Here is a 16,724-nt window from a genome sequence, read left to right as displayed (position 1 = left end):
TCCGGAGGGACGAGTCTACAGGGGTCGCGCGTCGTAACGACGTCACTTCCGTCGGAAGGTTCTCATGAGGAGCCACTCAGATTCCTGTCACTTCTCAAAGCATCTCCGTCGTGAACATGGCCCTGCCACCATTCTTCGGCCAGGGTCGCCCAGGCCCACCGCCCCCGCAGCCGCCGCCTCCTGCTCCTTTCGGCTGTCCGCCACCGCCGCTGCCCTCCCCGGCTTTCCCGCCGCCTCTCCCCCAGCGGCCCGGCCCTTTTCCGGGGGCCTCCGCCCCCTTCCTTCAGCCTCCGCTGGCTCTGCAGCCCCGAGCCTCCGCGGAGGCCTCCCGCGGCGGAGGCGGCGCTGGCGCCTTCTACCCGGTGCCACCACCGCCGCTGCCTCCTCCGCCGCCCCAGTGTCGGCCCTTCCCGGGGACCGACGCCGGCGAGCGGCCGCGGCCACCGCCTCCCGGCCCGGGGCCGCCCTGGAGCCCGCGGTGGCCTGAGGCGCCGCCGCCGCCGGCCGACGTGCTCGGGGATGCGGCCCTCCAACGCCTGCGCGACCGGCAGTGGCTGGAGGCGGTGTTCGGGACCCCGCGGCGGGCAGGCTGTCCGGTGCCCCAGCGCACGCATGCCGGGCCCAGCCTTGGCGAAGTGCGCGCGCGATTGCTCCGGGCTCTGCGCCTGGTGCGGCGGCTGCGCGGCCTGAGCCAGGCCCTGCGCGAGGCCGAAGCCGACGGCGCGGCCTGGGTCCTGCTGTACTCCCAGACCGCGCCGCTGCGCGCGGAACTGGCCGAGCGGCTACAGCCGTTGACCCAGGCTGCCTATGTGGGCGAGGCGCGGAGGAGGCTGGAGAGGGTCCGGCGCCGCCGGCTGCGGCTTCGCGAGAGGGCCCGGGAACGCGAGGCCGAGCGGGAGGCAGAGGCCGCGCGGGCAGTGGAACGCGAGCAGGAGATTGACCGCTGGAGGGTGAAGTGTGTGCAGGAGGTGGAGGAGAAGAAGCGGGTGAGAGCAGCGGCCGCTCATGGGGGTAGGAGTGGTGGTGGTTGGAACCTGGAGCAGCAGGAGGCTTTAAACTTCCATTTCCCAGGGCTAAGCCTCTGTTTTACGCGCAAAATGAAGCGATAGCTAACCTTCCCAGCTCATACCACCATGTTAATTTTGTGTTAATGATGTGTGGTACACAAAAGTTCCAGGTGCACTGTAAAATCCTGTAAACACAAAGTATAGGATTACACGGTGGCACTGCACGAATGACAGGTCTCCCCTATCCTGCTCCAACATTGTCCACTTACTCTCAAAACCAGTAAGTGTCTAGTTCCTTGTGTCTTGTACTGCCCTAGGTGGTTTTAAGAATACAAAATACAGGCCGGGCGCGGTGGCCCACGCCTGTAATCCCAGCACTTTGGGAGGCGGAGGCGGGTGGATCACGAGGTCAGGAGTTCAAGACCAGCCTGGCCAAGATGGTGAAACCCCGTCTCTACTAAAAATACAAAAATTAGCCATGCGTGGTGGCGGGCGCCTGTAATCCCAGCTACTCTGGAGGCGGAGGTTGCAGTGAGCCGAGATCGCACCACTGCATTCCAGCCTGGGCGACAGAGCAAGACTCCGTCTCAAAAAAAAAAAAAATAGAGAACTTGGGGACCCTACCTCAAGGAATATATATACTCTAATTAGCTGATGGGGCAATAGTGATTTCCCTAGGATTCTTTTGTTTACAAGTTTTAAACCATGTATCCCCAGGTTCAGCAATGGTGTTTCGGAGCATTTACTATATATATATATATATATACACATACATACATATATATACACATACATATATGTATGTGTATATATATGTATGTATGTGTATGTGTGTATATATATGTATGTATCTGTGTATATATAGAGAGAGGTGTGCTAAGGTCATTACATATACCAGATTTTGAATCTTTATAACAGCCTTGAGAAGTAGGAAGTATTATGCTAATTTTACAGGTTAGGAAGTTGCATAGAGAGGTTAACTTGCCAACAGTCACACAACGAGTTTGTGGCAGTTTCCCATATTTGATCCCAAGTTGTCTAATTCCAAAGCGTATTGATCTCAGACTCTTTAAGCAGGGCCAGGGTAAAACTGGAAATTGTTCAGATGGTTTTCTAAGGCATTTTCTTTCTTTCTTTTTTTGAGATGGAGTTTCGCTCTTGTTGCCCAGGCTGGAGTGCAATGGCATGATCTTGGTTCACCACAACCTCCACCTCCCGGGTTCAAGCGATTCTCCTGCCTCAGCCTCCCGAGTAGCAGGGATTACAGGCATGCACCACTACACCCCAGCTAATTTTGTATTTTTAGTAGAGACAGGGTTTCTCCATGTTGGTCAGACTGGTCTCGAACTCCTGACCTCAGGTGATCCACCCGCCTCAGCCTGCCAAAGTGCTGGGATTACAGGCGTGAGCCACTGCACCTGGCCGTCTAAGGCATTTTCATTACCTTTGATTGCCTCTGGGGTTCCCTTTCCTCTTCCTCATTATTTCTATTATTATTACATTATAATACATAATGAAATAATTATACAACTCACCATAATGTGGAAACAGTGAGAGCCCTGAGATTGTTTTCCTGCAACTAGACAGTCCCATCTGGGGGTGATAGGAGACAGTGACAAATCATCAGGCTTTAGATTCTCATAAGGAGCCCACAACCTAGATCCCTTCCATGCGCAGTTCACTTCTTTGTGCTCCTATGAGAATGTAATGCTGCTGTTGCTGATCTGACAGGAGGCGGAGCTCAGGTGGTAATGCAAGCAATGGGGGAGTGGCTGTAAATGGAGATGAAGCTTCACTTGCTCGCCTGCCTCATCTTTTGCTGTGTGATCTGGTTCCTAACAGGCCATGGACTGGTTACCATCCGTGGCCTGGGGTTTGTTGACCCCTGGCTTAGAGATCTGTGGGAGATCATGTCAGTATAGCGTGGTGTGTGTTAGGAATTCAACTATAGGTGCTGTAAAAGCCCAAAGAAGGAACATCTGATTTACTGAGGGAATGCTTCCCAAATGATACAATGACACGTAAGCTGAGTCTTTTTTTTTTTTTCTGAGACAGAGTCTCGCACTGTTGCCCGGACTGAAGTGCAGTGATGCCGTCTTGGCTCGCTGCAACCTCTGCCTCCCAGGTTCAAGCGATTCTCCTGCCTTAGCCTCCAGAGTAGCTGGGATTACAGGTGCACACCACCACTCCTGGCTATAAGCTGAGTCTTAAAGGAAAAGTCACCCAGGTGAAGGTAATAGGTGCAGTTCCAGGGAAACAGAGTAATCCAAATGGAGAAGTGAAACAGCTTGGTGTTGGCTGTAGCTGTAGTGGTGGAATTACAGGCACTTATTTGACAGATGGGGGAGAGCACTTTAGGCAAGAGGATTCTCTCCACCACCCATGGTGAACTTTTTATTTTATTTATTTTATTGTTTTAAGGAGACAGGGTTGGGGCTGGGCGCCGTGGTCATGCCTGTAATCCCAACACTTTGAGAGGCCAAGGCGGGCGGATCACCTGAGGTCAGGAGTTCGGGACCAGCCTGGCCAACGTGGTGAAACCCTGTCCCTACTAAAAATACAAAAAATTAGCTGGGCATGGTGGCAGGAGCCTGTAAACCCAGCTAATTGGGAGGCTGAAGCAGGGAATCGCTTGAACCCAGGAGGCGGAGGTTGCAGTAAGCCGAGATCGCGCCATTGCCCTCCAGCCTGGACAACAGCGAGACTCCATCTCAAAAAAAAAAAAAAAAAAAAAAAGAGGGTTGGGGGCGGGTGCGAAGTGGCTCACTCCTGTAATCCCAGCATTTTGGGAGGCTGAGGCAGGCAGATTACTTGAGCCCAGGAGTTCCAGACCAGCCTGGGCAACATGGAGAAACCTCGTCTCTACAAAAAACACAATTAACTGGGCATGGTGATGCTGTGATCACACCACTACACTCCAGCCTGGGCAACAGAATGAGACCCTGTCTCAAAAAAAAAAAAAAAAAAAAAAAAAATACAAAGTTTCACTCTGTTGCCCAGGCTGGAGTGCAGCGGGTTTGTCATAGCCTGTAGGTTTGAACTCCTGGTCTTAAAGTGATCCTCTCGCCTTAGCCTCCTGAGTAGGAATAGCTAGGGACACATGCCATTATGCCCAGCTTCCATGGTGAGGATATTGGTGACAGAGTCTTATGAGGAGTGGCTTGAGGAACTGGGGTTATTTAGTCTATATGTGAACTAAGTCAAGAGTAGGACAGCAATCTTTGGTATTTGAAAGGCTGTCATGTGGAAGAGATCCTTGGGACTTTAGAGCAGTGGAACACAAACATAGGTTGTCACTAAGAGACCTTTGTAGAGGTCTCAGCCTTTCCAGCCACATTCCTTATCCTTCCTGGGAATCTGAATCTTCAGGTCTAGGGAATCTGCATTTTTAACAAGTCTCAGCTTAACAAGGTAAGTTGGACACCTGATCTCTGCACTACACTTTGAGAAACACTGAGGAAGAAACAAAACCAGTGCTATGTGGAAGATACAGAGAGGAGAGGTTCTCCTTTAAGATGAAGGTTGTACCATCAGTGGAGGGGGATAACCTCTTAGCTAGAGGGGAGTTGTGCAAGGCCTAAGAAATTGGGATGGAGATTCAATAGAGTCTCTCTTAACCTGGAGACTGTCTGATCCTTTAAAATCTAACCACTGGGCAGCTATTCTCTGCTGTAAGTTTGTTCCTAATACGAGGTCTCATGGGCTTTGTTTCTCTTCCAGGAGCAGGAACTCAAAGCAGCCGCTGATGGCGTACTATCTGAAGTGAGGAAAAAACAAGCAGATACCAAAAGAATGGTGGACATTCTACGGGCTTTGGAGAAATTGAGGAAACTGAGGAAAGAGGCTGCAGCGAGGAAAGGTAACTGTGGCTTTGCATTTCTTTCCTTGTTCCCTTCCCCTTCTTTACTCTAGCTCCTCCCACCCCAAATATTATTGAGGGAAAAATACTTGAAACTTCATGATTTTCACCTTGTCGGGTAACTGGGCTTGTCAGCAAGTAGGTCAGAACTTCTGAAGCAGGAAGCCTCAGAAGATGTTTAGCCTGTGGTAGCCCAGATTGAAAAGAGAGGCAAGTGTGGGAACCCACTGCACTGTCTTCCCCTTGACTTATCATTCCTACCCTGGGCATTTCTGGCCACACTCTTCTGAGTGGGCTTGTCATGGCTAGTCACCTTTGCCTTGTGCCAGAGTGAAAGCTTTTCACCCTTACTTGTTGCTCCAGAAAGTGTTGAAAACTTGGCATGCTTCTTCAGATACATTTCAAACCTGAATTATTTCTATTTGAAGAGGTATGAATGGTTGGACAGGGCAGGGATTGCAGACTGTGTGGATTTCCCCACCTTCCCTTCATGTCACTGGTCTCTTCTTGCCTCTGGAGGAAGCACCAGACACTATAGCCAGGCAGTTCAAGCTTCTCCACCGAAGTTTGTTTCAACCATGCTGGCTTTCTAGAAGTTACCCAATTGTGCTTTCCATTTGCCTGTCTGGATCTTAGCTGTTGTCATTCTGTTCATCTGGAGGGCCCTCAGTCCCATCTTTGCCATTTTAAGATCTCACTATTCAAAACCAAATACACATGCAGCATCCTTCATCCTTCCCTGATCTGGGCTGAGGTAACCTCCTGTTGCTTCTCACTTGCACCTGCTTTGGACCACATGCTGATTTATTTAGTAGATTGTAGGCCTTTGGTATTCACCAGAGATATTTGAGAGTGTACAAATTAGCAAATGCCACTCTAACAAATGATTTCCCATGTGTTGTTTAAAATGTAAATGAAAACTGGGATTCTTTTAGACCCTTAAGAAAGTTGTGTTGGAATATGACCATTTTGTATTCACCCAGGCTCGTTTGCTAGCTAAGTGATTGGCTTTTGCATACTAGCCTTCAGAGCGGCTAATTCACATCCAGACCTCAGAAACAGATGCCTCCATTGTGGTACTCTCAGGGCATTTGTAAATCAGAGGGAAGTTAGCATCTGCTTTGTCTACCCATCTCTTTTTCACTAGAAGGCAAAACCTGAGAGCTATTTAATATTCCCACACCTCACATCCTCTATGAGGTGAGTGCTCAGTAAACTTCTGCCAAGTGAATTTACCAGCATTTCCCAATATTAATCTTCCTCACTTTGGTCCAAAAGGAGGAGGAAATTTTAGGAAAATCATTATCTATAGAAATAAACAGACTTTGTGGCATTAAGTGACTTGAATGTAAAATGATTTGGTAAGTAGCAGCTGGTTGCATGCATATTTAAAATGAGCAGCTAACTTCTCTCTTCAAGATGTGTGCACCTCCAACTAAGTGCTGAATGATGAGGCTGGATGTTTAAGCAGGACCACGTTGCAAATTGTCTTATGGGCTATGCTAGAGTTCTCACTTATACTTAAAGCTTTGGGGAACCGCTGAAAGTTTTTTTTTTTTTTTTTTTTTGAGACGGAGTCTCGCTCTGTCGCCCAGGCCGGACTGCGGACTGCAGTGGCGCAATCTCGGCTCACTGCAAGCTCCGCTTCCCGGGTTCACGCCATTCTCCTGCCTCAGCCTCCCGAGTAGCTGGGACTACAGGCGCCCACCACCGCGCCCGGCTAATTTTTTGTATTTTTAGTAGAGACGGGGTTTCACCTTGTTAGCCAGGATGGTCTCGATCTCCTGACCTCATGATCCACCTGCCTCGGCCTCCCAAAGTGCTGGGATTACAGGCGTGAGCCACCACGCCTGGCCCCGCTGAAAGTTTTTAAGTGAAATGATGGCAAAGATCAGTGCCAGTAGAGCAGAGAAAGTTTTGGAGCATCCAGGAGAGAGAGAGAAGGGCAGAGAGATGGGTAAGGCTATTGGGCACGGGTAGTATGGAAGCATAAGCTGAGTGACGTCAGTGTGTAGGAGAATTGAGAGGTAATGAGTAATTCAAGTGATAGTGAATAATTGAGTAATTCAGAATTATTAGTGAATAATTCTCAAGTCAAAGAATTGAGAGATAATGAATAAAGGTATATGTGTATATACCCATGTACATATAAATAAATAATTTAAGGAACTCAGAGTACAGGAACTAAAGGGAAAAACAATGAAATGTCTTCCAGATTCTAGCCTCATCTACTGAATAAGTGAAGATAGCTTTTTTTTTTTGCTTTTTTTTTTTTTAAAAGACAGGGTCTTGCACTGTCGCCCAAGCCGAAGTGCAGTGGTGCAATCATAATTCACTGCAGCCTTATACTCCCAGGCAGGAGCGATCCTCCCACCTCAGCCTCCTGAGTAGTAGAGACTACAGGTGCACACCACCACACCTGGCTAATTTTTAAATTTTTTGTAGAGATAGAGTTTCGCCATGTTGCCCAAGCTGGTCTCGAACTCCTGGGCTCAAGCGATTCTCCCATCTTGGCCTCCCAAAGTTCTAGGATTAAGGGTGTGAGCCACTGTGCCTGGCCGATACCATTCTAATTAAGAAGGAAAACAAGGGAGGAGGAACAGGTTTAGGGTTGACAAGTTCAGTTGGGGACCTGTCGAGTTTGAGGTGTGTGTGGTACATCCTGGATAAGAGTTCATTAGCATGTAGCCATGAGTCAGAATGACCTTAAGGAGATTGTACAGCATGAGATGAGGGCCAAAAAGACAAAATCATAGGGAATGTCAAAATCAAGGTAGAAGATGAAGAGAGCAAAAAAGAGACCAAGAGAGGTCAGAGAGATGGGAGGAAAAGATAGACTCCCTGCTTCCTTCTGGAAAGTGGCAAGTGCTTAGAGAGAGATTGTGTAGTCTTGGTGATATGGTTTGGCTGTGTCCCCACCCAAATCTCATCTTGAATTGTAGCTCCCATAATTCCCACATGTCGTCGGAGGGACTTGGTGGGAGGTAATTGAATCATGGGGACAGGTCTTTCACATGCTGTTCTTGTGATCATAAGTCTCATGAGATCTGATGGATTTATAAAGGAGAGTTTCCTTGCACACGCCCTCTTTACCTGTCACCATGTAAGATATAACTTTGCTCCTCCTTCACCTTCCGCCATGATTGTGAAGCCTCCCCAGCCATGTAGAACTGTGAGTCAATTAAACCTCTTTTATAAATTACCCAATTTCAGGTATATCTTTATTGGCAGCGTGAGAATAGATTAATACACTTGGACAGGTTACTTGAGCTTCTCTGAACCTTTGTTTCCTCATCTGCAAAAAGGGAGTAATGATAGTACCTACCCATGGGGTGTCGTGAGGATTAAATTAATAAATATGTGTAAAGTACTTAAAACAGTCCTGGCACATAGTAAATGCTATATACATGTTTCATATTATTATTCTTTTTATTATCAAGAAATAAGGAACATCCATGGGAATTAGTATCCAACCGGTCATTAGTGACCTATGCTAGGGGCATTTCAGTGGAGTGGTGGGGGTAGAAGCCAGACTACAGTTGGTTAGAGAATGAATATGATACAAGAAAAGCAAACAGATAATTCAACTTATTAAAAGATTGCCTGTGAAGAAAAGGAAAGAGCAACATCAGTATCTGGCAAGGTGTGTGGTAGTGGTGATGGTGAGGGGTGTTGTGTGTCTTTGGGTCATGGGGAAAACTTAAGCATGGTTAAAATTGCTGAGAGGAGTGAGTAGAAGGGGAAGGGTCAAAGAGAAGCAGGAAGAATAGTTGATGGCTCAAGGTCCCATGGAAGGTAGGATGATTCAGATCCCAGGTGGAGGGATTAACTTAAGTGAAGAAGGACCCATCTTACACAAGCATGAAAATGAAGGAGATGAAGATAGGTAGTGATGCACATGAGTGTGTAAATGGGGACAGATATTTGAGGGATTTCCTGTCTGCTGGCCTGTTTTCTCTGGGAAACAGGGTAAATGGTTTGCTGAGCGCCAGTAGACAAGTGGGGCTTTAGGAGAGCAGTGAAGGTTTGATTTAATTGCTGTGAAGAATGGGTGAGAGCCAACAGAGACTTGTGGAAGATGGTTGCAGGGGGTGCTATGGGTCCAGCTGACATATATTGGCAATGGATGACACAATCAAATGACCTCTTCCAGTAGTACTGTAGCTGACAGGTGAGCACAGAGCACGGGGCTGTTGGGGTTTTGCTTTGTGGGGTGACCATTAGTTTTGTGGCGAAGGAGTAGCAGAAGGATAGAATCTGATACATCAGGTCCGGAGGTTTTGATGAAGCTGCCAAATGGGTCTCTGGGGAGAAGGAAGTAAAAGTACTATAAGGGAGAAAGTTGTAGTTGGATAAGAGAATAATCAAGTTTAAGATTTAAGAGGCAGAAAGTTTTTTCTGATAATGCCAAGGTCCACAGACTGAACAGGACTGCAGGCATGTGGCTAAAGGGGAATAGAGGCAAAGGCATTGGTGTCTAGGAGCTGCAGGACTAGGTGGACAGTGAGTGGTAGAAGTGGAGGGAACCTAGATGGTGCCAGGAGGAAGACTGTGTGAGAAGTGCTGTTTCTTTTTCTTTTTCTTTCTTTCTTTCTTTTTTTTTTTTGAGACGGAGTTTCACTCTTGTTGCCCCTGTTGGAGTGCAGTGGTGCAATCTCGGCTCACTGCAACCTCCACCTCCCAGGTTCAAGCGATTCTCCTGCCTCAGCCTCCAGAGTAGCTGAGATTACAGGCATGCACCACCACACCCAGCTAATTTTTGTATTTTTTTTAGTAGAGATGGGGTTTCACCACGTTGGTCAGGCTGGTCTCAAACTCCTGACCTCAGGTAATCTACCCGCCTCAGCCTCCCAAAGTGTTGGGATTACAGGTGTGAGCCACCACTCCCGCCCCAGGAGTGCCATTTCTGAGGGAATATGTTACATTGACCAGGGAGTGATCAGTGAGGGGCCGAGAGAGATGTGGGTTGGTGGCCCAGGCTCAGCAGCCTACATCTCTTCATGGGGTCTTTAGGCTAACATAGGATGATGGAGTATCTGTGTATTTCGCCATAGACAGATTTTAGTAGTTGCAACAGAGACTGTATGGCTTACAAAATCTAAAATATTTACCTGTAAAGGTAAAGAAATGAAACAAAACCGTTAGATTATTATAAAACAGAGTGACAGCTTAAATTTGTCAGTGTATAAGAATTTTGTGTATACTTGAAAAACACTGGCCTGGCAACTTAGTAGAAGATAAATTTGAGTTGTAGTGTTTCTGTAGTTGAGAATGAGTGAATGGAAACCTGTAGAAGCAAAGCAGTTAGGAGAAAATCATCTAGAGAAATGTTAGCCTTGAGAGTGAGTTCCACAACCACTTAGCTGTAGTGGTTGAAGGAGGAAAGAATCCTACCTCCAAATTACAACTTTACAAGAAACAGAACTACTAACCTTGAGAAACCATTATTTATGCCATTTATCAGCCCAAACTGAAAATTTAGTGCTCAAAGCTGGCACTATTGTATAACACAAGTTGCAGCATAAATTGTTAAAACCCTGTTGAAGGGCCGGGCATGGTGGCTCATGCCTGTAATCCCAGCACTTTGGGAGGCCGAGGTGGGAGGATCATGAGGTCAGGAGATCAAGATTATCCTGGCCAACATGGTGAAACACTGTCTCTACTAAAAATACAGAAATTAGCTGGGAATGGTGGCACATGCCTGTAATCCCAGCTACTCGGGAGGCTGAGGCAGGAGAATCGCTTGAACCCAGGAATCAGAGGTTACAGTGAGGTGAGATCGCGCCACTGTACTCCAGCCTGGTGACAGAGCGAGACTCCGTCTCAAAACAAAACAAACAAAAAAACCTTGTTGAAAATCATTCATTCATTGAAGAAGTATCTATTAATTACCTTCTCTGTGTCAAGTGTTTGGTAACTGAGCAAATATATAGCTTTTTTAGGAAGCAGTTTAGAACACAGTTTGTTAGTCTTGAAAGTATTCACAAACATTTCCATTTTTGAGAATTTTTCTTTCTTTTTTTTTTTTTGAGACAGAGTTTCACTCTTGTTGCCCAGGCTGGAGTGCCGTGGTGCGATCTCGGCTCACTGTAAGCCCCGCTTTCTGGTTTCAAGCGATTCTCCTGCCTCAGCCTCCTGAGTAGCTGGGATTACAGGCACCTGCCACCACGCCCGGCTAATTTTTGTATTTTTAGTAGAGACAGGGTTTCACCATGTTGGCCAGGCTGGTCTCAAACTCCTGACCTCGTGATCCACCCGTCTCAGCCTCCCAAAGTGTTGGAATTACAGGAGCCACCCTGCCCGGCCAAGAATTTTTCTGATAGAAATCCCTAGGAAGGAAAAAAGTAACATGCCCAAGAATATTCATTGTATCACAATATAATAACAGGACATTTGGAATAGCTTAGGTGTCCAGGAGTAGGGAACTTGATAAGTATATTCTAGTGTATTGATTTGATGAAATAGGATACAGCCATTAAATAATTATGAAGATTGGAGAAGAACGTACAGAATCAACAGGGAGAAGTGGAAATTACATACATGTAACGTTGAACTATATGAAGTTGCTAATACATGGACAAAAAGACCTGAAGAGAATGTGAGAAAGTATAAAATGGTTGATTATGGTAATGGGATTAGGATTTTTTTTTTCTTTCTTGTATCTGGTATTCTTTTTTTTTAAATTTATTTTTTTGGAGATAAGAGTCTTGCTCTGTCACCCAAGCCAGAGTGCAGTGGCATGATCTTGGCTCACTGCAGCCTCCACCTCCTGGGTTCAAGCGATTCTCCTGGCTTAGCCTCCTGAGTAGTTGGAACTACAGGCGCACGCCACCATGCTCGGCTAATTTTTTGTATTTTTAGTGGATATGGGGTTTCACCATGTTGGCCAGGCTGGTCTTGAACTCCTGAGCTCAGGCAACCTGCCTGCCTCAGTCTCCCAAAGTGCTAGGTTTACAGGTGTGAGCCACCACGCTTGGCCCTGTATCTGGTATTGCTAAAATGCTTGGGTAACATATTTTCCTTTAAAATCTTCAAGGACTGACAGGATAGATCACATCCACATCACTCTACATTGATTCACCTGGAAGCTTTTGTATTACAGGGCCATTATGGTAGTGAGTGCACAATTGCAGTCCACTCAAATATTCATTAAGTTAAAATCTTTTTTTCTTATGAAACTTTATGAAACATTTCACACATGCACAAAAATAGAATACATAAACACTCATCATCAACTATGATACCATTGTCACACCAAAAAAATTAGCAGTAATTCTTTGATATCACCTAATAACCTGACTATTTTCTCCACTGTGGCTTTAGATATGTTGGCTATACTGTTAGCTGACCTCATAGTTAAATCAGGATAATAACCATCCCAGTTTTACTGGGACTTGGGGCTTTCAGTGCTACATGCAGGCAAACCAAAACAGTTGGTCAGCCTACTGTCAGCAGCAGACTGCAAGGTCAGTGTGGTTGTTTTAAGTGTATCTTCCTCACCATCCAAGTGTGCACTCCCAAAATTCACACTCAGTCAGAGGAAGAATTGTTTATTAATTAGATCTGGGAGTTGATGCTAAGGGAATTTCACAAACAATGAAGTTAAGACAAGTTCCTCCCTTTAGTGAGCTCACTGTTTCAAGTGGAGGATCAAGACCATTAGAAATAAACAAAGTCGAAGCCAGGTATGGTGGTTCACGCCTGTAATCCCAGCACTTTGGGAGGCCAAGGTGGGTGGATCACCTGAGGTCAGGAGTTCGAGACCAGCCTGACCAACATGGAGAAACATCTACTAAAAATACAAAAATTAGCCGGGTGTGTTGGTGCATGCCTGTAATCCCAGCTACTCAGGAGGCTGAGTCAGGAGAATCGCTTGAACCCGGGATGCGTGGAGTTTGCAGTGAGCTGAGATCGCACCATTGCCCTCCAGCCTGGGCAACAAGAATGAAACTCCATCTCAAAAAAAAAAAAAAAAAAAGAAAGAAAGTCAGAGGTTAAGTGGTGTGGATGATCCAGAGGGAGGAGTTGAGAAAGTCAGGGTAGGGTCAGAGTAATTGAATACTCAGAAACATCAAATTGAGCCTTAAAAGATTGGGTAAAATTTCTAAATTTTAACCGATACATACTATAGCTAGGACTTTTAAACTTCCTCATTATAACACAAATTTTGGGATAAGAAAACGTGTGTAAAAGGCCATTTGGGCTGGATGCAGTGGCTCACTTTGGGAAGCCAAGCTGGTAGGATTGCTTGAGGCCAGGAGTTAGAGATTAGCCTGGGCAACATAGCAAGACCTCATACAAAAAAGTTTTGGTCTTTTTTTTTGGAGACGGAGTCTCACTCTGTTGCCCAGGCTGGAGTGCAGTGGTGTGATCTCCGCTCACTGCAAGCTCCACCTCCCAGGTTCACGCCATTCTCCTGTCTCAGCCTCCCGAGTAGCTGGGACTACAGGTACCTGCCACCATGCCTGGCTAATTTTTTGTATTTTTAGTAGAGACGGGGTTTCACCGTGTTAGCCAGGATGTTCTCAATCTCCTGACCTCGTGAGACCTCATACAAAAAATTTACAAATTAGTAGGTAGGGCCAGGCACAGTGGCTCATGCCTGTAATCCCAGCACTTAGGGAGGCCAAGGCAGGGGGATTGCTTGACCAGGAGTTTAAGACCAGCTTGAGAAACACAGGGATACCCTGTCTCTACAAAAATAAAAAAAAAATTGGCTAGATGTGGTGGCACGTGCCTGTGGTCCCAGCTACTTGGGAGGCTGAGGTGGGAGGATCTCGGGCCCAGGAGGTCGAGGCTGCAGTGAGTCGTGGTCATGCTGCCGCACTCCAGCCTGCACAACAGAGTGAGACCCTATCTGAAAATAAAAAATAAAAAATAAAAAAAAGCCAGGCATGGTGGTGCACACTTGTACTTGTAGCTACTTGGGAAGCCAAGGTGGGAGGATGGGTTGAGCCCAGGAGTTTGAAGTTGCAGTGAGCTATGATCACACCACTGTACTCCAGCCTGGGTGTTAGAGCGAGGCCTTGTCTCAAAAAAAAAAATAAATAAAATGCCATTTTGTCCTGTCTGCCCAGGGGTCTGTCCTCCAGCCTCAGCAGATGAGACTTTTACGCATCATCTTCAGCGACTGAGAAAACTCATTAAAAAGCGCTCTGAACTGTATGAAGCTGAAGAGAGAGCCCTCAGAGTTATGCTAGAAGGAGAACAAGAGGAAGAGAGGAAAAGAGAATTAGAAAAGAAACAAAGAAAAGAAAAAGAGAAAATTTTACTTCAGAAACGTGAAATTGAGTCCAAGTTGTTTGGGGATCCAGGTATGTTGCTCTATAACCAGTGGAGAAAATGAAAATACTAGATTGACGCTCTTCTCATCACGGGTGATCTCAAGCTAAGAGGTGGTAGGCAACAAATGACACCTTCCAGATGCAATTCTGTGTCATAGAACTCATGGATACAGATAGAACACATTTTCTCATTCTGTCGTAATCATAGGCTCAGTCACCTTGCCTTGAGAAATACACTGTGGATATCAAGCATGATAACGTGGTATTGTGCTTTTCTCTTTCAGATGAGTTCCCACTTGCTCACCTCTTGGAGCCTTTCCGACAGTATTATCTCCAAGCCGAGCACTCCCTGCCAGCGCTCATCCAGATCAGGTCAGAGGGGCTGGCTCTCCATGTTGTCTTTCTCTTAGGTAGCAGGAAGCACTTGAAGAAGTGCTTACATTGTTTAGGTCTATTACTGTCTTTTTTTTTTTAAGTTCCATAAGGAACTTAAAAAAAACTATGGGTTTATAATGTTTCCATGTTTCAAGGATGCTGCATACATCTTGTTTAGTCCTCATTAGTCCTTGAGAAGTTGATGTCCCTATTTTTATAGGTGAAGAAAAAAACTCAGGTTGTGACTTGCCCTGTGTTAGTAGGCACATATGCAAATACAGAATCTGTAAATAATGAGGATTGACTTTATTTGTTATTTGGTTATCCATAAGGTTTAAGTTCTTCAGAGTTTTTCCTCTTTTTATATGTACATTTAAGAAATATAGTCATTTTCTTGATTCCTAGAAATCAAGTTCTGTAATAGATTAGTATATCAGTCATTTGAAAGCTAAGTCTTAGAATATGTAGTTGCTGAACATCTTATTTGGAATAAAACAGAAATAAATAGTTGTTCTATAATGTTCTTATTAAGGCATGATTGGGATCAGTACCTGGTGCCATCCGATCATCCCAAAGGCAACTTCGTTCCCCAAGGATGGGTCCTTCCCCCGCTCCCCAGCAACGACATCTGGGCAACTGCTGTTAAGCTGCATTAGTAAAGATGCTCCAGGAGTGTGGTCCAGCCAGCGCTCTTTCCAGCTGTAAATATTAGCGATGGTGCCATCTTTTGCTGTAGACTAAACTGCAACTTCTAAATTCCATGTGGCATTCCCCTACCCTGAAGTTATGCTTTCCTTCTGTGCTCTGTGCTGGCCAGAGGTGCCTCTTGAATCAGATTAATGTGGTTTTTCAGGAAAGGACTTAGGTGAACTGAGGTTTTTACCACAGGCAGTGAATGACCTTGGTTCACCAAATTTGCCTCTGTTTTGAGGGGCTTGGTCCAGAGTGACTTGTTAATTTACTCTAACTTCCTTGTGTGTTGATGGGTAAGTACACTCAAACACTGAATACAGGTGTGTGATGGGTAGATTTCACAGCCCTTCTACTAATAGTGAGTGTGAAGGCAAGCTTGATGCAAAACCTCCTGACCTTTCCTACCTGAAGAGCCCTTTGACTTCTAGGAAGAAAGGTCAAAAATGTTATCTTCAGTTGTGTTAATCCCAGTTTTAGTGCAGCTTAGGAGGCTGCTAGTTAGGAAGATGGCAGTGGCTGTAGGCTGGGTTGCCAGAAAAGATGGTGGCCTAGTCTTATTATTCAGATGGAGAACTTAGAAAACCTGAAGAGTACCCAAATTGGATTGTATTTTAATGGACAATGGCTGTATTTTTTCCATGTTAGAAGGATCCTAATGAAAGCACCTGTTATTTTTAAGTTTCTAAGGGTCTAGTTGTTCAGAATCCCCAAGGATATTTCCCTAACCTCACTCAGTCACATTGTAGGAGCCAGTGTAGCTATGGAATTATCTTAGGAACTCAAGCTTCTAAAACTATCCATGTAGTCAAATCTAGGGGAAAAAGCAAATAAAAATAGTAAAATTTGGCCGGGCACAGTGGCTCACGCCTGTAATCCCAACACTTTGGGAGGCCGAGGCGGGCCGATCACGAGGTCAGGAGATCAAGGCCATCCTGGCTAACACGGTGAAACCCTGTCTCTACTAAAAATACAAAAAAATATTAGCTGGGCGTAGGTGGTGCACACCTGTAGTCCCAGCTACTGGGGAGGCTGAGGCAGGAGAATGGTGTAAAACCCAGGAGGCAGAGCTTGCAGTGAGCCGAGATCGCGCCACGGCACTCCAGCCTGGGAGACAGAGCAAGACTCCGTCTCAAAAAAAAAAAAAGTAAAATTTATTTTTTATATTCATTAATAAATGCTGTTGTGCTTGGAGATGATCACTCATATAACATGTCATTTTTTTGGTTCTGTTTTGGTTTGGTTTTTGCCAATTATTTTGTTATATTTCCAAAAAACTAAATAAAAATCATTTTTATTTTTTAGTTTGTGCCTTTGCTGCCAATTTGTTGCCTTCCAAATCACTTAACACACACTTTCACATTGATGAAACATATTTTCATTCAAAAATTCAAATTTATTAAGCAGGCATTTGTTACAGGAATTTGAATCTTAAATGCTAAACTTTATCTGCAAAATCCAAGTCTGGATTGGTAAGGATACCATCAATTTTGGAAATAATGTTACGTA

The 16,724-nt window shown here is 45.6% G+C and overlaps 1 protein-coding gene across 1 annotated transcript, besides 2 other annotated features; it reads left to right on the top strand.

Moving 5' to 3' along the window:
- On the top strand, nucleotides 90-16,519 carry PDCD7 (programmed cell death 7). The gene is made up of 5 exons (NM_005707.2): nucleotides 90-986; nucleotides 4,728-4,866; nucleotides 13,944-14,180; nucleotides 14,435-14,522; nucleotides 15,058-16,519. Exons 1-5 carry the CDS (start codon nucleotides 117-119, stop codon nucleotides 15,179-15,181), a joined length of 1,458 nt encoding a protein of 485 aa, NP_005698.1. The 5' UTR covers nucleotides 90-116; the 3' UTR covers nucleotides 15,182-16,519.
- Nucleotides 195-404: a silencer, noted in NCBI's record as "silent region_6552". NCBI's record gives its function as "represses an Ori minimal core promoter by ATAC-STARR-seq in GM12878 lymphoblastoid cells {active_cell/tissue: GM12878}" and the evidence as "EXISTENCE:reporter gene assay evidence [ECO:0000049][PMID:35858748]".
- Nucleotides 465-864: a silencer, noted in NCBI's record as "silent region_6551". NCBI's record gives its function as "represses an Ori minimal core promoter by ATAC-STARR-seq in GM12878 lymphoblastoid cells {active_cell/tissue: GM12878}" and the evidence as "EXISTENCE:reporter gene assay evidence [ECO:0000049][PMID:35858748]".
- Nucleotides 16,520-16,724: the final 205 nt, after the last annotated feature.

This window comes from Homo sapiens, chromosome 15, assembly GCF_000001405.40.
Source record: "Homo sapiens chromosome 15, GRCh38.p14 Primary Assembly".
Lineage (NCBI taxonomy): Eukaryota > Metazoa > Chordata > Mammalia > Primates > Hominidae > Homo > Homo sapiens.
This window is presented reverse-complemented; position numbering and strand designations above follow the sequence as displayed.